The sequence below is a fragment of the Homo sapiens genome, chromosome 8 (genome assembly GCF_000001405.40).
Source record: "Homo sapiens chromosome 8, GRCh38.p14 Primary Assembly".
NCBI classification, from domain to species: Eukaryota; Metazoa; Chordata; class Mammalia; order Primates; family Hominidae; genus Homo; species Homo sapiens.
This window is the reverse complement of record NC_000008.11, coordinates 123,960,340-123,982,299: the sequence shown is the minus strand read 5'-3', so window position 1 is coordinate 123,982,299 and position 21,960 is coordinate 123,960,340. Positions and strand designations below refer to the sequence as shown.

At 42.5% G+C, this 21,960-nt stretch overlaps 1 protein-coding gene across 7 annotated transcripts in view; it reads right to left on the bottom strand.

Annotated features, from left to right (window-relative positions):
• FER1L6 (fer-1 like family member 6) overlaps window positions 1–21,960 on the bottom strand; it is a 268,075-nt gene that overhangs the window by 137,762 nt on the left and 108,353 nt on the right. For all 7 annotated transcript variants that reach the window (XR_928347.3, NM_001039112.2, XM_011517231.3 and 4 more), the window contains 9 exons: window positions 18,902–19,022; window positions 16,239–16,293; window positions 16,010–16,141; window positions 12,203–12,265; window positions 8,788–8,866; window positions 6,994–7,150; window positions 6,216–6,402; window positions 4,691–4,883; window positions 1,489–1,835 (listed from right to left, as the gene is read on the bottom strand). Coding sequence is in view for 6 of the 7 variants with exons in the window: in NM_001039112.2 (NP_001034201.2) it covers window positions 1,489–1,835; window positions 4,691–4,883; window positions 6,216–6,402; window positions 6,994–7,150; window positions 8,788–8,866; window positions 12,203–12,265; window positions 16,010–16,141; window positions 16,239–16,293; window positions 18,902–19,022 (1,334 nt within the window). In the remaining variant the exon portion in view is untranslated. The remainder of the gene's footprint in view (window positions 1–1,488; window positions 1,836–4,690; window positions 4,884–6,215; window positions 6,403–6,993; window positions 7,151–8,787; window positions 8,867–12,202; window positions 12,266–16,009; window positions 16,142–16,238; window positions 16,294–18,901; window positions 19,023–21,960) is intronic.

The following is a 21,960-nucleotide window of genomic DNA, read 5'->3' as shown; positions in this document are numbered from 1 at the left end:
TTGGCAATCCTTGTTTAGAAAAGAATAGACAGCTTCAACCCACAGCAGGAAAAACGACTACAGGGATAGATGGAGATATCAGCTTAGGTAGCTACTAAGCCACCCACAACTTCTGGTGAAATTCAAAGTTAAGTCTCCAAAGTTGGCATGTATTCTCAAGAAACACCCCTAAACACAATCCCATATAGATAATAAGTTCTAACCACAAGAAACTGGCGCACACGTTTTCAGATAATATTTCCCAATACAGTATGTGAGCTCAGAGGAGAGAACTGGGGAGGTCCACTAAGTTTCCAAAGTCACAAACAGATTGGAAAGCTCTGAATAGCTGCTTCCTGGTGGTGGGAGAAAACCATAGCGACACTGACGACAACAACAACAACAAATGCATTGCCTACTTCCTATGTATGTGCTAAGAACTCTGCTAACCATTTTACATGCATTTCCTCATTTAACCCCCAAATATGCCTATGGCAGGGTAATTATTAACTATTTCATTTTGTTGATGGGTAAACTAAAACACAGAGAGGTGTTAGTATCGGAGCCATAACTACAACCAACCCCAAGATTTCCAGCCCTATGCTCCAACCACTCCCCTACACGGTTTCTTAAGATTTATTAGGTCCCAGCAATCAAAACAAATGCCTCTTCCAAGGCTAAGGTGACCTGCTGCTATACCCCTTTGGACTCTCCAGTCTCTCCTAGAAATGAACAGCTCTGGGATTTTGAGCATCACCTCCCTTCCCTACCCGAAATTATCGCCTAGTTGACCGAGCACACTTCCAGAGGCAGAATTAGTCAAGCTAGGAGCTGGAATCTACCTACCTCCGCTACTGACAAAACATGAAGCTCTTTCATTTGCTTAACTGCAAGTTACCATTGATAAACTAAACAGTAGAGAGAATATTCACCATTTGTATTCCTCTTAGAGTCTCAGATCTCTTTCCCATAAGCAGAACCGGGCTGGGAAAGTGCTAACATGCTTCATGGTGAGTAATAAGCATACCCTAGAGTTGTGATTTCCCGCACAGGTTTGGGGTAGGGGAGTAGGTTTCTCAATTTCTTATATCCCAGCTTGTCACCTACTCTTCCTCCTCTTCATTCCTCATCCAAAATTATCTCCCATCCGGAGCTTACTCTAAGCTAACACAACTAAATAAAATTAGGCCACAGATAGAGTTTAATCAATCCCGTACCACCCACTCCCACCAACTCCTCCGGAGCACTTTTATTTCTCTTTACTTGGGTTTCCATGGGAATTGTATTTGGGGGAGTGGGGGATTCAAAGGAATTTATCATAGGCAGATGGCTGTGAAGTGTGCAAGAGGGGGCAGAGGATCAGCCTGAGAACACAGGGCTGGGCCAACACAAATTTTTCAGAGGGAATAAGACATATTCTGACAACACCTTCAGGAACCTGTGGCAGGGGCAGTCCCTGCTCTGGTTCACCTCATAGGTAAAGTACCATAATGCAGTGCCTAGACCTACCTCCGGGGGGACATCGAACGATTCCACCTCCACCTCGGTTGAGTTAGTTTTGTTTGAAGCCTGTTGGGATTTTCCATCTTCAGTTTTGTCAGCCTTGTCTTTACCTTTGGAAGATTTGGAGTCTTTGTCCTTGGAAGGCAACTTGAGCTCCTTCAGGGCCTTGGAAAATTTAGATTCCTGTGCCCGTCCTGAGAGGATTTCCACAGCAATTTCTACCAAGATTCTGCCCCTGAATGACACACCTTCCCCAAAGCCTTCGTTCATTTCCTGGTAGTCATCCATCAGACTGTGGTTCCTGGGCGAGCCATACAGGTTAATCCAGGCAGGCCCAAAGGTGGGCAGAAAGCCTAGAGAGACCCCAGGTTTTAGTTATCTCATTATGTTTTTGCTTTATAAAAGTTGCACACATTCATTTCAAAATGTAGAATATCCAAGAAAGACGAAAGAAAATATTGACAGGATATCCCATGACCAAAAGACAACGATTGCCATCTTGCCATATTTCCTTCTAGTCTTTTTTGCATTCATGTTTACACTTGTTCACAGTTGTACTAATACCATAAATGCCAATCTGCATTCTGTTCTGTTCACTTATTCATCAAATGTTTATTGATTCCCCCATGTTCTCCAGTAGGCTTTATGTTTAGTGCCAGGTACAATGCTAGATACTAAACAGAGCCTGCTGGAGAACAAAGCAGGTATAAACATTAAGCAAATAAATATTTACAGTGCAAACACTATGGAGGAAATACACTTTGTGTTGCAAGAAAAAGTAACAGGCTGATGTAACATAGAGGGGAGTTAGGCAGGCAGAGAAGAGAGAGAGTGTGTGTTCTGGCTAGAGGGAGGAGCATGTGCCAGTTAGAAAGGAGCCTGGAGCTAGAGATGAACTCTGGGAGAGTTTGAAGAGGTAGGTGGGTCTTGGGGCCTTGATAAAAATTTTGGCCTTTATCCTAAAAACTACAGAAATGTTTTAAAGGAATTTAAGCAAAGATGTGACATAATCATATGTCTTAAGATCACTATGGCTGTTACATGAAGGGTTAGAAGGCTAACTGGTTCAAGGACCACTTCATCATCAAAACTGAAGACCAGCGTCTTGAACTAGGGTGAAGGTAGTGGAGACTGACATAGGTAAATGTTTCAAGATATGTTCTGAACATAGAATTTAAAAGACCTGATGATTTGAACTTACTGCTGATGTAAGTATTTTCACTTCTTAATACATAGTGTCTGAGAAAATGCAGTGTCTATGGGAACATCGCTATGGCAACAGCTCGATGACAGGCAGTACAGTCTGGTGGCTCTGAGGCCTGAGTTCAAATCTCAGCTCTGTCATGTTCAAGCTGTGTGACCTTGGGCAGTTTTTAAACTTCCCCATGTTTCAGTTTCCTCACCTCTAAAAGGGAGATGTTAATAGTACCTGCCTCATCTTTAATTTTGAGCCCCAGCTAATCCACTGAGCCAGCCAGGCAGAGGTCAGGTAAAAGAATTTCCGCTCAGTAGATGGCATTTTATTTCTCAAAATTAAAAGAAACTATCAATTGAGTGCTTCACGCAGGCCCTTAGGAAGTGCTAAGAATATAGGCTATTATTATGAAGAAGCAAATATATCATAATCTGCTTAACAATCCCCCAGTGTTGACAATTAGATGTTTCCATGTATGGAAACTATTATCAATAGTTTTATGCCTACACATTTCCTATCCCCTACTCCCATAGACTGGATTCTAGCTCTTCCTTGAGTAGACTTAAATATAAGAATATTGTATTGAAAAGGATAGAAAGATTTTATGGTCCTGATGTCTATATTTTAAATCACTGATGTATATCTTCCTGAATGCCATCAAGATGTTCCTAAAAGGTTGTAAATAAAACATGTTTACATCTAGCTGAGATATTGTATAGATGGGCCGAGGGTGCTTTCTGCATATAGCAATCTTGTGGCAAACACTTCCATAATGTAAAGATTTAGACAAAGGTATTTATTTACTGAGGCCTCTCTATGGTATCTGTTAGGGACATAAAAATGTGTAAATCTTGTTTACTGCTCTTGACATGCCTTTAGTCTAATCAAGTAAAAAATTAAAATAATTACATTAACCATATACAGATGATATGTGATATATTTATTAATGTATATATTTGTACATACATGTATATGTATGTGTGATTATATGTAGATACACATGCATGTGCATGTATGTATGCAAAAAATATGTCAATTAGTATAAATTTGTAGCACAGAGAAAGATTGCCTGGGAATTTAAAGAAGGGAAGGTTTGTTGGGTTTTTCAAAGAATTATCTACTAATTTGGGTTTTGCAAATAAAGAGCCATATAACTGAGTGGAAATTCTTTTACCTGACCTCCACCTGGCTGGCTCAGTGGATTAGCTGAGCTAATCCACCAGCTCTCAGCTCCCACCCTGGCTCAAAGTGTGCACAGTCAGTGCACCTCGCTGCTATTCCTGCGCTCTCAGGCTCCCACCAATGGGTTGAAGACACAATTTTTGTTGGTACCATTTATTTTATGGGCCATACTAAAATATGTAGTAGGCCATATTTGGCCCATAGACCTTAGTTTACCAATCTCTGATTTACTCTAAATGTCTCATTTTTCAATTATGGGAAGACTGACTTCCTCAAGGACACATAGCAGTGTTTGTGGAAGACCCGGGACCAGGAGCAAACCTCCTGGCTCCCAGAGCCTGGCTTCATCCATTGCCCTGAACCAACTCAAACCACAGACCCTACAGTAGCATGGAAAGTGCCTAATACCTGGAAGGTGCTCTAACCCAGGGGCTCCTGACCGCCCAGAGCCATGGACCAGTACCCATCCTGTTAGGAACTGGGCCGCAAGAGATGAGCAGCAGGCAAGTGAGTATTACCACCTAGCTCCGTCTGTCAGATTAGCGGTGGCAATAGATTCTCATAGGAGTACAAACCATACTATGAACTGCACATATGAAGGACCTAGGTTGCATGCTCCTTATGAGGAGACTAATGCCCGATGATCTGAAGTGGAACAGTTTCATCCCAAAACCATCCCCCAACCCATTCATGGAAAAATAGTCTTCCATAAAACTGGTATCTGGTGCCAGAAAGGCTGGGGACTGCTGCTCTAGCCCACCCCTTTTAAAGATGAGGGCTCTAAAGCAAGCATTTTGAGACATTTTTCAAGTCAGATGGATGGGACTTTACCTTTGTCTCCATCCTGTTCGTTGGAGATTTTCTTCAGGTCAATGAAATGGGTTGCCAGGGCTACGTCATTCATGCTGCCTTCATCCCACACCTGGATTTTCACCCTCCGACACAAGGGAGGGAACATTTCCTTGAAGATCACCTGTTCATGCCACACAGGATCAGCACAGTTCTTCTGCACTGTGGTTCGCCCCTAAAAACACAGCCAGGAGGACATGAGTCATGGAAGGGACTGACTGACTACAGAAAACTCTTCAAGCCAGCTGGAAGTATAAAGTGAGTTTTCAAAGATAATGAACCTGCTTCTGACACCCACGAAAATCAGTTACACTCAGCGAACGTGACTGATGACCTGCTCTATGCTGGACACCGTGCCAGGTATCTGAGACAAAGTCACATCACAGCCCCGCCCTCAGGAAGTTCTGATCAGCATATTGGGGAATGGGAGTTCTGTGCAACTCCAGAAATACAGTGGATGTAGTTAGACCATGAGCTCATATTTTGTAGAAGTATGACCTTGTGTGAATCACTCTTCCACTCTGGACCTCAATTTCCTTGTCATAAAATGGAGGTGATGTCTTATATGATCTCCAAGTTCAGCCCAAGTCAAAAATACTTCAGTGTTCACCCCTGCCAAGGGGACACAATCAGGGTAGTTCTGTATTTTAATGGCAGAGATAACATGTGTGTGAGTTGAAGCTTCAAAATCCAGCCAACCAGGGTTAATCTCTGACCACGTACACAGGCCCTGACACCTCCAATGGCTCCTGAGCAGGGAAAAGCGATGTCCAGGCTTACATAAGACAAGGACTAACTGAGGAGATTGTGGAACAGGTCAGGAGGTGGATGGAAATTCTAAGACAAGGACTACCTGGGGAGATTGTGGAACAGGTCAGGAGGTGGGTGGAAATTCTACCGGATGTGGGGACTGAATAAACAGCTCAGAGAAGTAGCCAGGGGTGAGGAAGGATGCCTGTCTGCCTGTATCCTAAACCACAATCCACGCATAGCTCCTTTCCATTTTCTCCAATGAAGAGTGAGTGAGTAACCCTCCCCTATTTCCCTGCCACATCCCGTTGCCTTTTCTTTTTTTTTTTTTTAAAGACAGAGTCTTGCTCTGTCACCCAGGCTGGAGCACAGTGGTACAATCTCTGCTCACTGCAACCTCCGCCTCTCAAGTTCAAGCAATTCTTATGCCTTAGCCACCCAGTAGCTGGGATTACAGGGGTGCACCACCACGCCCACGCCCAGCTAATTTTTTGTGTGTTTTTAGTTGAGACAGGGTTTTGCCATGTTGGCCAGGCTGGTCTTGAGCTCCTGGCCTCAAGTGATTCACCACCTCAGCCTGCCAAAGTGCTGGGATTACAGGTGTGAGCCACCTCGCCTGGCCCCATTGCCTTTTTGTAACAAGCTTTTGCTTTCAAGGCACTTCCTAATTTTTATTAATTTGATTTGATTAAACATATCTTGGATAGAGAGCAGGGCCCTGGCCTAGCAGGCAGTGTTAGTGACAATGGTTCCTCACCATCTGCCCAGCAAAGGAGACCTCCACAAAGGGATCCACCAGGTCCTTACTGTCACCCACAAATGCCTTGGTGACGTTCGCCATGATGCTTGAATTCATTTTGGGCAACCCTTCTGCTTTGTAGAGTCTCACATAGAATCTGGCCCACGGTCTCTCCAGTGGAAACCCATTGGGGATCAAAAGGTTCCTTAGAGGGAGACAAAAACAAATGAAAAAGCTCTCTCAATTGAAGAAACAGAGAGAAAAGACAGGAGCAATTTGGAGGCAGAAAGAAAGATCCCAATATAAGACAAATCTGAAAAGAGTAAGATTCATTGCTGAAATGAGTTTTCTTTATAGTGTAAATGACAGAGAATGGTATGAATAGAGTGAATGCAAACTCGTTCAGGTCCTAGGATAGGATAAATACTGTCTCCCACTCTGAACCTTAAAAGAGGTGCATTTAAGTCTTCCCACATCACAAACCAGTGATTGAAATTATAATTCCTTCAAAGAAAACTCAGCTACATTCAGAAAAATTGGATAAGCTTAGGAATAGCTTATCTATTATGGGTTATTATAGGAAGACAGACAGTTCTTGTCCTAGAACCTGACCTCGTGAAGGAGAGTCATACCTTAATAGGACACATCTTGGTGTCTGATAGAGCAGAATGCCAGGTGACCAAGCTGAGAAGAAGCATGGTTCTCATGTACCCATAAGAAAAGTGGTGAGGGAGGGGAAAGAGATTAAAATTGGACATATCATTTCTATGCACAACCCAGGATGGACCTGTCTTACTTTTCTATTGGCTCCTCGGTGTCAGAAGTTTTAGGGCTGGTCTTCAAGACATCACCTTTTCCCATGACACTGATGTCACATTTCAGGTACCCCTTGGTGCCAGTCCTGATGTCACCAGGGTCTGTGAGCAGGGCCCACTTGTTGCAGAACTGATGACCTGTGAAAGCACCCTGACAGCTCACATCCTTCACAGATGGGCCCAGCAGCCCCACCCCTTTCTCTCCCACACGCCAAGGCCTCCCAGGCTCTCCTCCCTCTGTTGCTCTAGGTGGTAAATCATCTCAGTTTTTTCCAAACCTCATGCTGCTTCCCTCTTCCTTTCCCTCCTCTCCCTTTGCTTCCTACCAGTTCTCCATCTTTTCCCCCAATTTACCATAGATTCTTGGGAAGCCATTGACTTAGTAGAAATCACTGAGACAAGGTTCCATCTTTGATGGAATAGGGGGACATTAATGAAGTGTAGAAGTCACATACGTATTATTTACCCACAGGACATAAACCTGGCTCCTTGGTCTTTTTGTTTGGCCTCACTGTGAGTCAAAACTTCCAAGATGGCTTACATAATCTAGACTTCCGGCTTTTCTTTAAAAATGGTAAATTCTGGCAATACTGGCTTCACATTTCTTTTTTTTTTTTTTTTTTTTTTTGAGACAGAGTCTCGCTGTGATGCCTGGCTGGAGAGCAATGGTAATGCCCAAGCTGGAGAGCAATGGCATGATCTTAGCTCACTGCAACCTCTGCCTCCCTTGTTCAAGCCATTCTCCTGCCACAGCCTTCCAAGTAGCTGGGACTACAGGTGTGCACCATCACGCCCAGCTAATTTTTGTATTTTTAGTAGAGATGGGGCTTCACCATATTGGCCAGGCTGGTCTTGAACTCCTGACCTCAAGTGATCCACCCACCTCGACCTCTCAAAGTGCCAGGATTACAGGTGTGAGCCACTGCACCTGGCCAATGGCTTCACATTTCTACATGGCAGTAAATACCAAAGGCACTGAATAGCCACTGCCCTTGTATATGGAGCACAAGCCTTCCTGTCTCCTTTCCCAGACTCCACTGTTCCTTTATGCCTCACACTCAGGCTGCTGCACGCAGCTATGCTCCCTGTCTGGCCCCCACAGTCACAGGAGTTGGAATCCCTGTTGAAGATAGGGGGCCTTTCATAAAAAGATCTGTGCTGGCTCTTTTACTTACTTGCTCTTGACCTTGAACAAATTACGTTGCTTTTCTGAGTTTCTCTTTCCTACAAATCAGGGATAATAATAAGTACAGCAAATCCTTTGTATAAGGATACAAAATGCTGTAGTCATTTTTATGAGTGAGACTCTTTACTAAGCATTTTGTGTATATTAACTTACTCAATCCTCCAACAAACCTATGAAGGAAGTAGTAAGTTATCTTCATTTCTACAGATGAGGAAACTGAGGCCCAGAGAAGTTAAGTCATTTGCCCAAGGTTGCACAGCTAGGACATAGAGTGGGATTCGAACCCAGGCAATCTGACTCCAGAGTCTGTATTCTTAGTTCCTATATTCCATTGCCTCTCCTGTCCATATCTCGACTGGACAGAATTTGTGTGAGAAAAAAAACTCCCCAGAAGTAGACATATAAAATAATTTTATCATTAGACTGTAAAACATTTGAGGGCAAGAGTTATGTCTCATTCAACTTTGTATAACTGGTGCTCAGTGTTATTGAATGAATGGTCACACAGGTGAGTGAATGAATGGGATGACTCCAGGTGCTATAAACCAAAGACAAGTGAGATACAGATGGGGAGGTGATGTTTTCTTACCAGGTTGGTTGTACACGGTCCCCAGGTCTACTTTGAAAGAGCCAATCAGTACACTTCCTATCAGCTTGTGGTGAAAGACCTGAGGAGAGAGAGAGCAGGGAGTATGGCAGATTTACCTTGAGGATAAGAGGCCTTGACCCTTGTCTAGCTTTGACCCTGTCTGGAGCACAGTGGAGTTTGGCCATCAAACCACAAGGCTGTAAAGGACCTCCAGAAGCCCCTCAACACCTTCATTTCTTGCTCTTAGCAGGATTTTAGCTAATCTTCCATAGAAGGATGCCTGTCAACTCTCAGTGCCTGCAAGCTTCCTTTAACCAAAATAAATCTGAGTACAGCTCACCCTTCAACACCCATCTCTTCCTGCTGAAATTTTCCCTATCTTTCAATACCTAGAACATAAGTCACCTCCGCCATTCAGTCCCCCCAAACTGAAAGTGTTCCTTTTCTCCGCTAAACTCCTGCAACTTTGCTCACAACTTTCTCAGAGAACTCATCACATATTGCCTTGAATCATTTTAGGCATGTACAACGGTGAGAACAAAGGAGGTAATCACCCTCAATATTCTGTCTGATCAGGGCCAGCAGAGGGCCTGGCTTGGTTACAGCAGCCCATTTTCATGCTAATGCTCTCAAGATGAGGAAGTTCTAAAGGAAGGTGCAGAGCTGGTGCCAGGTTGAAAAGCCACAACGTATGAGAAACTGCTGAAGAACCAGGAGAAAAGTTCAATCTGTCACCCATAAAAGAGAAAACTGGCAGGTGTGGAGAAAGGGCAATGGCAACTGAAGTGTCTTTAAATCATGTAAATGCTGTCATGCAGAAGAGAGAGCAAGTCCCCCTCTATGGTTCCCAAATAACAGGATGAGAGATTTCCACTCAATATAAGAACAATGTTTATAACTGTCAGAACTTCCCAGCAATGGAATGAGCTTTCCTAGAGGTAGCGACCTCCCTATCACTGCAAATAATCAAGTTATGCCCCCAAGAACTCCACGTAGTAAAGGAAGAGGAGAAGGATTCTGGCACCAGTTGGAAGTTATACAAGATGTCCTCTGAGCTTCCTTCTAACTATAAAATCCTGTAAGTTCCTTAAGTCAAGGACAGTTTCCTCCTGTCATCCACCCATCACATGGCCTTGTTCACAATAGATATTCAATAAACATTCAGTGAATTAATGAATGACTAATCGAATGACAGATGAACGGAAGGCTTTTGCAGCTTCTAAACAGCTCCTTTTTGCGAAGCAAAAGAAATTCAGTTGACCTCAAGAAATGACAGCCCTCCTCATTTCTCTTTCCACTCTCTCTCCCTAACCTAAATTTTCCATGGGTGTCAGAGAACCAAGGTGAAGTACAGGCAGCCTGACTCAAGTAGAGAAGCTACAGAAGGATGCTCACATAATGTTCACTCCAAAATCCAACATGCTTGCAGTTGCTCATGTGTTTTTCCAAAGGCCTGAGAAAGAACACAAGCCAGTTTCAAGTTCTCTTCTCAGGTTGAGAGTCCCTGTGGGCAAGATGAAATGCAAGAGCCCCAAACAAATCTTTAAATAACACAGGATGCCTCTTAAAGTCATCCATCCAGTGGTTGAGTGCCAGGCAATCCTGGTGTGGTCAAGTGTTAAATCACCAGGACTCTGGGGATGTCTCACACACAGAGTACTGGGAGCCCTGCATGCCTTGGCCACTGAGAAGGGAAGACTGTCTTTGGCACCACCAGGGTGTGTTACAGGCTGGCTGTCCCAATAGCATCTGCTTACAGCAGTCCCCCACTTCTTATCCCATGTCGTATATATTCTGGGCATACTGACTTTCAGTTCATGGACTAACAGAAAAGTTGTGTTAAACATTCCCCTCTCAAGGGAAGATTTTATTTTAAAATCTTTTGTCTCTAAGAGTCTTTTAGGGACACTAAAGTCTTCTCTTCTTCGAAGTTAGAGAAACAGAGATAGGCAATGGTAGCTTTGATCCTCTGTCTAGAAGTCCACATGTCCCACAAACAGTCCTGACCCTGGTCTATGGCACAATATAAAAATCTAGTGATTAACTGTTCATCAGACAATCCTTAGAAGCCTCCTATGGAGCTGATTCCATAAACAGATGGTTGCCTGAGCAATGGAACAAAGTCCTGGGCATTGTCCCAGGTCCTGAAATATCACCTGCACCACTTGTCATCATGCCTGAAATTCAAACCTTAAGATTGTTTGTCTCTGGGTGACTTCTCATTCTTCAAGAGTCACATTCTTCAAGTCTCCTGGGAAGGTTAATGTCATAATTCCACTATTTACCTAGGCCATAATGCAGGACTTTGCTGACAGTCAGCTGTAGTTAAAGGGAACATATTTTATATATCTGTTTAGATATTATATTGAGTCAGTGATAAAGACAGGGAAGAAAATCTTCAAAACAAGTTTTGTCATCCTCACAATTCTGATTACAGCTGACTGTTGAAGAAATCATTCCCTTATTCTCCAGACTTCCTACACTGACACATGAAGTAGGAACTGTATCCTCTTAGAACTGTTTGGAAGAGAGAAACTTACTCTCCAGCCATCCTTCACCACCTTGGGAGAAGCTGTGGTGATCTGTCACGCTGGTAAGGTAGATGCAGTATGTCATCCATTGGTCTCTGTCCCTTTGCTGAATGGTGCAAAGTTTGTAACAATCCCATTTGGCCTGACTTCTCTCTCATTTGGATCAGTCTGGCTTCAACATGGGCACTTCCCCTTCCCATTCCTGTCCTCCATGTAGTGGGCAAAGTTGGATTGGGCCCTTAGATCAGGAAGCTCTGTATCTGCACTTCCCCTGGCAGAGCTGAGGAAGAGTCTATGCAGCAGACTCAATTTCCCAAGGGCAGGTCCTGAGGTCTACACTCAGAGGCAACTTTTGAAAATCCCAATGGCCACCACTTAGTCCAAATCACATCCTCTGATCCAACATTACCATTGATGAGACTGACACTTTTTTCCTGGTACTTGTTCCTATTTCTTTATTCATTACCCAACTAGGAGGAGGAGATGTGATTAATGATCATTAGTGTAGATACCAGCCCAAGAAAGAAACACCTACATTTGCCTGATTTAAAAAAAAACAAACTAAAACTGACAATGCATTAAGATGTCACTTGAAGCACGTGTCTCACATTCCCACACTAGTAAGCTACATGATTCAATCAGTAATAGCTTTACCATAGCTTACCACTTGCTTCCAAGAAGCATAGATCTTCTTAAAGTGGTTTTTCTTCCCAGACACCTCCATACTGGTGATTTCAAGTTCTGCCTGTTGGTTAGACTCACCAACTGACACTTGCCCTCCTGAATCTATTCCCCGCTAAGTATGCTGAGTTGTCCCAGAGAGTCCCCAATGCCCAAAATGTCTCCCACCTCTCCACAACTATTACCACCAATGCTATACTTACGGAGATTTTGATGATCTTGTCAAAAAGATGCACTTGGGGCCCAATGAAGTCGAAGACAAAGTACTGCAAAACAAAAAGTTCATTCTGGTCATCAACCCCAGACTTGCACCTAAGAATCCTGTCCTTGGAGTGGATTTAGATCTTTGTCATTCAAACCAACTGCTGCATGAATATATATACATCATCAATTGATTGTCAATTGTCAATTCTCTTTTTTTTTTTTTTTTTTTGGAGACAGGGTTTTGTTCTGTCGGCTAGGTTGGAGTGCAGTGGCACAATTAGGGCTCACTGCAGCCTCAACCTCCCAGGGCTCAAGTAATCCTCCCATCTCAGCCTCCTGAGTAGCTGGGACTACAGGCCTATACCACCACACCTGGATAATTTTTTTTTTAAATTTTTTGTAGAGACAGGTTCTCACTATGTTGCCCAGGCTGGTCTCAAATGAAAACAATGCTATCAATCACATTCTTGCATAGGATATGTGTCAGTAATCCTCCAAAATGAACATGAGAAATGGAATTGTCAAGTCATAGATTAAGTGCATATAACTTTTGAATAGATAGTATAAATTTTTTCCCCAAATGGGAATTTTATATTCTCACTGGCAACATGAAAATAGCCATCTCTCTATAATCTTATCAACCCTCGATAGTGTCATTTTTTAATTTATAATTATGAGTGAAAATGGTACTTCAGTATGGTTTTAAATTGGAGTGGACTTGACTAAAATCTACTTTTCCCAGGATTTTTCAGTTTCAAACATCCCTGTGAAATTACCAGGATTTACCAGGGAGAGAATACAAAAATCTATGGACATGAGGATTTTTAATATTAAGAACATGATTGAATTTTGGAGTTGGAGAAATTATCTAGACCAGTCCCATGTTTTACAGATAAGACTGAAGACTAAAGAATTTAAAAGATGCTACCCAGATTCCTATTGGTAGTTATTGTTGGGTCTGGGACCAAACCTTAGTTCTCTTGACATTATCACACAAGGGGATCAAGTACTAGATATTTCACCATCTGACTCTTGAGTCAAGATCCTCCCAAACTCAAGGTTGTAAGACTATAAGATGCAGAAAACTGAAGTGGTGTTTTGTCCTGGTTTGTGTGTTTTGGGAACTGAGGGGGACCAGGAAGGCAGGCCTGGGAAGCTGTTTCCTGGATTTTCTTTTTTGAGCTGTAGAGTGGAAGAATGGCCCCTTAGAGATGGACACAGCCACAGTAAGAAAGGAGGAACTGACCAAATGACGATGGCCTGCTTTCAAAGGGCAAAACAGAAAAAGCAAAATGTGGGAACCGAAAAATGTCATCATACATTATAAGAGATCCTCAAAATGGTGGTCCTTAGAGATCAACCAAAGATTCCATTCTGTTCAGTGTCTTCTGTTTAAGAAGACAAGACAATACATACAACATTTCAGGAAATTTCTCATATATATGCTTAAACTTTTTCAGAGTCCTGGTGTTCAAAATTTATGTGGAAAATTCACTTACACAACATTCTTCATTCTCTGAATACACCAGATGCTGTGGCTTCCTTTGGATGGACAAATGAGTTGCAATATTTATTACCTTCTGATGGGTTTCATATGTTTCAGACTCAACTGCCTCACATAGGCTTCCGAGACCTCCTGGCCAACACATATTCTTCTAGCTGGGAAATATTCCCCAGCTCCAACTAATGGGTTCCTTCAGCATCTGATGAACTTTAGGCTTGAATATTTAGGTCAAGAGTTGTAACAAAGGTTTTTAGATCAACTTTTGTGTTTCTATGTGATTTTTCTACCGGTTACACTTGGGCCCAGTTTAACGTCATTTAGATCCAGGACTTGTATGCATAATTATTATAATTAATAAATCTGTAGAGCTTTGCAGTTTTAAAGCATTTTCATATATTATCTCATATTACATCCATGCCAAAAGCTCTTCTGGGGGTAGAGCGTGGAACAAGAAGGGAAAATGTACTGACATTTCATTTATAGTCAGAGGCGCAGAGGCAGAAATGATGAAGAGGAAAGGAGTCATTAGCTCCAATGGGATTTGGGTATTTTCTGTTGATTTCATTATCCATGCTCTCCCTACCTTCCTTTTAAATGACCATTCTCATTAAGATAATAAGATTTTTTTTTTTTTCCTGAGACAACGTCTTGCTTTGTTGCCCAGGCTGGAGTGCAGTTGCGAAATCTCGGCTCACTGCAACCTCCACCTCCCAGGTTCAAGCAATTCTCCTGCCTCAGCCTCCTGACTAGATGGGATTACAGGCACATGCCACCACACCCAGTTAATTTTTGTATTTTTAGTAGAGATGGGGTTTCACCACGTTGGTCAGGCTGGTCTCAAACTCCTGACCTCGTGATCTGCCCACCTCGGCCTCCCAAAGTGTTGGGATTACAGGTGTGAGCCACTGCATCTGGCCAAGATAATAAGAATTAAGAGTGCCCTGAATTTTTTGAAATAATTCATTGTGTCAAAGAGCCTACAAGTAAGCAAATGCTCCTGTGCACTGTTCATTTGAGTATAAATTGTTACCTCTTTGGAAGGCAATTAGCGACATGGAAATTTTAAATGCATATACCTTGTGACCCAGTTATACTATTATAAGTAGTAGCAAAAGGTTAAAAGCATTTCATGTTCATTCATGAGAGACTGACTGGTTTAGTATATTATGGCATATCAAGGCAATGAAAAACTCTTCAGCCAGGAAGGCAAAATGGGAATGAGCTGTACCTCCCACAGGGATTTATTTTCAAGATACATTGTTTTGTGAAGAGTCCAGAACAGTGTGTATAGAATGCTACCATTTGGGTACAATATTTCCTTGTATTCTGGTACATGTTTGGAATATCTCTGGAAGGATACGCAAATGCCTAGTGAGAGTGAATGCTTCCAGGGAGAGGACTAGGGCATTGGGGATCAAAGATCAGAGGGAAACACATTACTCTATATCGTTATACTTTTTGTCTCTTTTGCCATATTTTTTCACCAAGTAATTTTTTTTTTTTTTTTTTTTGAGGTGGAGTCTCACTCTGTCACCCAGGCTGGAGTGCAATGGCACGATCTCGGCTCACTGAAAGCTCTGCCTCCTGGGTTCACGCCATTCTTCTGCTGCAGCCTCCCAAGTAGCTGGGACTACAGGCACCTGCCACCACGCCTGGCTAATTTTTTTGTATTTTTAGTAGAGATGGGGTTTCACCATGTTAGCCAGGATGGTCTTGATCTCCTGAGCTCGTGATCCGCACGCCGTGGCCTCCCAAAGTGCTGGGATTACAGGCGTGAGCTACTGCACCCCAACAATATTTTTATTTTAAAAAGAGAATTTAGCATGTACGATATTTAGAAATCTGAGATTTTTCTTTACAATTTCTACACAGCTTAGAAAAATGTAACTTTTACTTTCCAAGGTAGTATGCCTGTTTCAAAAACAATAATTAAGTTTCCAATGTCTCTGCCAGGAAGAAGAATATGTATCTTCTCCCTAACCGACATTCAATCAATTTATTGACTATAAACCCAGGGCTTATAATGGATGAAAATGAGCTGATAATAAATAAGAAAACGTATGTTGAAAACGTAGCAGTGAATTTAAAATCAGGAGGAATTCCTCGCCTCTCTTTTCCACTACCCTTTTGTGAAAAGCTTTAGGGGGCTGTGTTTGTAAGAAGAATCAGTTTGCCATGGGCTTAACTGGGGGCCAGGGAGGGAGGCAGGAGGGGCACAGCTCTTTGTTTGACTGAAGGATCCTGCAGAATGGTGGTGAAGAGAATCTTAGTGCAAAAGCTGTGGGTGACCTCCATGACTTACTTCATTATAAAATGGGCTGTTGGTTCCTTCCTTCACTGTGCTTTGCTTCTTCTCATCCCCAATCTCAATGGTCACAACTGGGTCAATGTTCTCACCCACCAGCTGGCGAGCCTCGGTGATGGTTATGGCAATCTGCAACACAAAGCAGTGTGGACACCATTCCGGACACCGCCATCCATGCACACAGGAAGCACTGGGGGAGGCTGGGCAGGAAGAGCCAATCACTTACTTGATAATTTTGGGATCTGACCTCCCCATCATGGATCTTAGTCAACAGTTTTGATCTATTAAAAGAAAGTTTAATATGTTTGTTTCATCAAGGAAGAATATCCATAAGTCATGATAATATTCTCCAAAGTATTTCTAAGTCCTTTCATTTAATATTATTACATATTCTGTCTACATCTCTGGGGGAGATAAGTATAAGCGGACAAATGACTTGACCTCTGAGTTTTCTCATCCTAAAAATGGAGCTTGTAATAGCATTTCTGAGATGATTGCTAGAATTAAATGATATAGTGCATATAAAGGTTTAACTCAGTACCTGGCAAGAATAAATGTCAGCTCTTTTTATATGATTATCAGTATTTTTTAAAATTTTAAACAAAATGAGAAACTGAGATGCCTCAGCAAATCAGTGGCAGAGCTGGGTCTAAATAAGGAACTCCCAGTCTCCTGCCTGATTCCATACACAGGACCATTCTGCCATGTCTAATAGATATAATCATAATTGCTTTGAAATAATTGGTAAAGGAAAAAATTGAAGGGAATGACTAAAGATACCATCTCCATGAAATTTCACATTCCAGGGGATTTCATTTATCTGGACTATCACAAGTAATTGAAAACATGTGCAACACCTGGGCATTTAGAGATGGATAACAACAGAAAGAGATGAAGAATTCCTGTTGTCATAGAAGCTGAAATCAGTGGCAAATGAACTGAGCTTGAGTTCCTGTTGCATTTTATCCCCTTGGTTACTAACAATACCATGTTGCATTTGACTTCATCCCATTTCTGCTGATTATAATTGAGTCCAATAGAGAACTGATTAAGTTAGTAAAAATCTCTGGGCATTGGAGTCAGACTGATCTGAGTTAGAATATTGTTCTCCCCAATTTTGGACTTTAGTTTTAATTTCTGCAACTGAAAGTAAAAATAAGAATTCCTACCACATAGGGTTACTCTGAGGACCCAAGGAGACAATGCAGGTAAGAAAGGGTAAATATCATTTAATTGGTTCATCAATAAGATGGCAAATTTGTACTGATTATTTATTATGTGAAAGCCCAGTGCCAGATTCAGGGGAAAAACAAAAATGAGTAAGCCATCTTCCTGGTCCTTGAGAAGTAACAATCTATCATCCATGGGAGAGAAGACAGAAGTATATTTAAAAAGAACTAGTAGGCAAGTGTAAAATGTGTCATAGGGTAAAGAAAATATGACAGAAGAGCTGTTGAGAAAAAAAGTCTTGAGGACCAGGGTACACAACAAAGATTTCACTGCAGAGGTTGGATTTGAATTGAGCATTGGTGGGTGGATAGAATTTCAATTGCTGGAGAATGTTCTGACCAAGGAAAAAGAAAAAGGCTGTTATTCCTTCCTTCTCTTTCTCCTGCCTTCCTCCACTCAATGCTATCACCCTTGTAAAATGAATAGGAAGAAATATCTTGAGTATTAAAAAATGACTGAAATCCCTATTCAGAGACTAGGGTAGAGGGGTGGTGGTTGTCAGGGTGCGGCAAAGGAAGGAAGGAGATATTGCAGTGAGTAGGTGTGTACACATTTCATGTCTTCTTTTGAGTGTCAACTTCTGAGTTATCACTTTCTCTAATTCCCACTGCCCTCTAACCCACATATATGTACCCTGCCATCCTGTCACAACCCAGAAACAACAACTCAGGATCAGCCAAGTGGGGAAGCACTAATTTGTTTTATTGATAGTAACAACTTTGAGTGAAAAAGAAAGGGAAGGGCATGAGGAATTATCACAAGTAAGAAATTGACATAAACAAATATGGTAGACTGAAAGCATTGTTAGCCCCAGTCATTGGCTTACTCTGTATCCAAACTTGTTGCCCCGTAACTTTTAGTCTCTCCAACAGAAGGCAGCAGAAATGACTTTTGCCAGTTCAAAGCCTACACCTCAAGAGAACTTCTGTACTTCCACTCTCTTAGAACCCTGCCATTGCTACCATTGGCACAAGCTCAGACTAGCCTGACGGAGGATCTGGTATCATGCAGAGAACAGCCGGTCTCAGCTGAAGCAGTACTAGGCCAGGCTACCACCAGCCAACTCCTAAACTAACCAGCAGAGCTGCCAAATGACTACAGAAACATGAATGATGCATCTGCAACTATCTGGGATCAGCAAAACTATCCAACTAATTCATTAGCAATAATAAATGCTTATTATATTAAGCCACAGATCTGGGGGCTATTTGTTACACATCATTGCTAACTGATCTAGCAAAATGCATGCAGAAGGCCAGCTTGTTTTGACTTTTTGTTGGGTAGCATAAGAACCACCTTCTGATTTGAGACAGACAAGAAGCTAAGATAATGAGCACCTTGATGAATCAAAGAGCAGGTAAGAGACAGCTCCTGCTGTCATTCCTGAACTGTGAGCGACATGAGCACCTTCACTCAGGAGATTTAAGACCAGAAGCTTGTAGAACCATGATCCTGGCCTGATGAAGGCTGAACGGTATCAAGAGGCCAGCACTGCCATAGAGAAAACTGAGCTGACACAGTCTTCCTGCCTTAGACCTTGCCTGCCTGTAGACAGTGACTATGTCTTACTCTCCTCTCTTCTCCCAGCACCTGTAGAGGTGCTTGGCACATAAGAGATGCTCAGCAAATGTGTGTTGACCACCTGCATCCATACTGTACCTTCTCTTTGGAGAAGCTGAGGGGACAGGAAAGATAGAAGCATCATCATGGACCAAATCTCCTCTCGGTCCTTCCTGGTGAGAAGGCTCCTCCTGCAGTGCTTCAGTGTCACCTTGACTATCTGGAGAAGCAAACAAAGGAAGAAAATCCTGTGAAATTGACATGTGGTGGCAATCGAGCCTCTACCTTATGCCAGCCCTGTGGCAGGCACCATAAGTGGTACAAAGAGACTAGAAGACAGACTCTGCCAGCATAAAACTTAACATCTTATTGGCAGAAATGCCAGATACATCCTTCATTTTTCTAAAACTTATGTATCTTCTGTTTCCAAAAAAGAACAGATTTATGTGGATGGGACTGTGAAAAGAAAAATCGGATTGTGAATCTAAAGTGTAAACTAAAAATAAAATCCTAAGCAACCCCCTCCCCCACCCAAGGGGACCCCAGAAAAATCTTAAAAACTGAGTTTCTGGCTGGGCACGGTGGCTCACACCTGTAATCCGAGCACTTTGGGAAGCTGAGGCAAGTGGATCACCTGAGGACAGGAGTTTGAGACCAGCCTGGCCAACATGGTGAAACCCCCTCTCTACTAAAAATACAAAAATTAGCCGGGCATGGTGGCAGACACCTGTAATTCCAGCTACTTGGGAGGCTAAGGCAGGAGCAACGCTTGAACCCAGCGGGACAGATGTTGCAGCTAAGCTGAGATCGCGCCACTTCACTCTAGCCTGGGCAAAAGAGTGAAACTCCATCTCAAAAATCAAAAAATAAAAAACAGAAATAAAACCCTAGGTTTTTGTCAATGATGAGACAGGAGGTCAGGCATACCTCATTATACTTCCTTTTTGTGGTTTAGACACAACAACTGACCAGCATTAAAATAGAGATCATAAGACTGACAGAATGGACCCTGTGGCAATAAGATACCAAATTACAAACAGGACCTAAAGTCATGACAGGCAAAGCTTAAGTCATGCACTCCTATACTTAAAAATAAAACTGTGTTCTAACTGCCACAGGTTTTTCTTTTTCTCTAGCAGCTGCACAAGCACCAGCCTCAAGATAAGCAATAAACGATTTACTGCTTGCCCACCACTGACAGACACTGAATAACTGACTCCCAGCCCCTGTTCTACAAGCTATAACTACAGCTTTAATTAGACAAGAGACTGACTTCAGTGACTTTCTCCTGATAAAAAGACCACAGACAGGCTGGGCACAGTGGTTCATGCCTGTAATCCCAGCACTTTGGAAGGCTGAGGCAGGCAGATCATGAGGTCAAGATATCGAGACCATCCTGGCTAACGTGGTGAAACCCCATCTCTACTAAAAATACAAAAAGTTAGCTGGGCGTGGTGGTGGGCACCTGTAGTCCCAGCTGCTCGGGAGGCTGAGGCAGAAGAATCGCTTGAACCCAGTAGGTGGAGATTGCAGTGAGCCGACATTGTGCCACTGCCCTCCAGCCTAGGGAGACAGAGCGAGACTCCAAGACTCCATCTCAAAAAAAAAAAAAAAAAAGAAAACAAACAAACAAAAAACACAGACCATAGACTCGTTCTGGCTGTTTAAAGAGTCTGCACACTTGAGTGCTTTTGTTTCTTAAAAAGATCTTTTTACATATAGGGCCTAATTCTAATACATTTAAAAATCAAGTCTCCACCCCAAGGTAAATTTGGGTCATATATAACATGCACGTGTGTTCAGTACACATGCATCAAGACCACCTTCTTGAATATTCATAGCTCCTCCTGTAACCTGTAATTACATATATCTGGCTAACCATTTCAGTTTGAATTCCTGTCTTACTCTTCCCTTTCTGGAAGTGTCTGTCTCTGCGCTCTGTGGGAGGCTATGCTTCCCAGACCATCAAAATGGGCACCTGGCAGGCTGTAACCCTTCATAAAAAATAAAGTCTACCTTCTTAATTTATAAATTGTATGATTTAAGTTAACAAAAGACATGTTTCAAGTCATGACCTTGCCGCAATGGAATTTTAGTGCATCATTTATTCTCTGAGCTTCATTAGCAAAATGTGATGTGCGTAAGCATCACCTAGGAAGCTGCTAAAATGCAGATTCTGATTGAGTAGGTCTGGGTGGGGCCCAAGCTTCTACATTTCTTTTTAATTTTTTGGAGACAGGGTCTTACTCTATCGCCCAGGCTGGAGCTGGGACGCAGTGGCAAGATCTCAGCTCACTACAGTTTTGAATTCCCAGGCTCGAGGATCCTCCCACCTCAGCCTCCTGAGTAGCTGTGACTGCAAGCACACTCCACCACAACCGGTGAATTTTTTCTTGTTAATATTTTTTTTAGAGAGACAAAGGGGTCTCACTATGTTGCGCAGGCTGTCTCTAACTCCTGGGCTCAGGCAAATCTCCCACCTTAGCCTCCCAAAGTGCTGGGATCGCAGGCATGAGCCACCGTGCCCAGATAAATTCTGCATTTCTAACAGCTAGATGCCAGACGAGGTTATTCCTGCCGTCTGCAGGTCAATTTTGAGTAGCAATGTGTGATATTCTGAAAAGATAGCCAGTCCTAATCTCTGAAGCCTGTAAATGTTACCTTATTTAGAAAAAAGGTCTTTGCTGATATGATTACATTAAGAGTTTGAGATGAGGTGATCCAGGTGAACCCTAATTGCAATCACATGTATCCTTAAAGGGAGATTTTCCATCGACAGAAAAAAAAAAGGTGGCAATGTGACCATGGAGGCAGAGATTAGACAGATGCTGCCACAACCGGAAGCTAGAATTGGAAGGAGTGGGGCCTGTGATTTTGGCCCAGTGATACTGATTTCCAGCATTTGGCCTCCATAACTGAGAGAGAATACATCTGCCTTCTTCTAAGTCACTGAGTTAGTGGTAGTTTGTGACACACTAGTCTAGGAAGGATAGGTTTCCTGGGAAGCCCTATGAAACAGTACACACGCATTTAGGAAACTTAAATGAATAGATAATAAACATAACCCTTATAACATTTTCCTCTCCACCCTAGATTCTAATTTAATTCATCTGGAATGTTGCTGAATGTTGAGATTGTTGAAATTCCCCAGATGATCC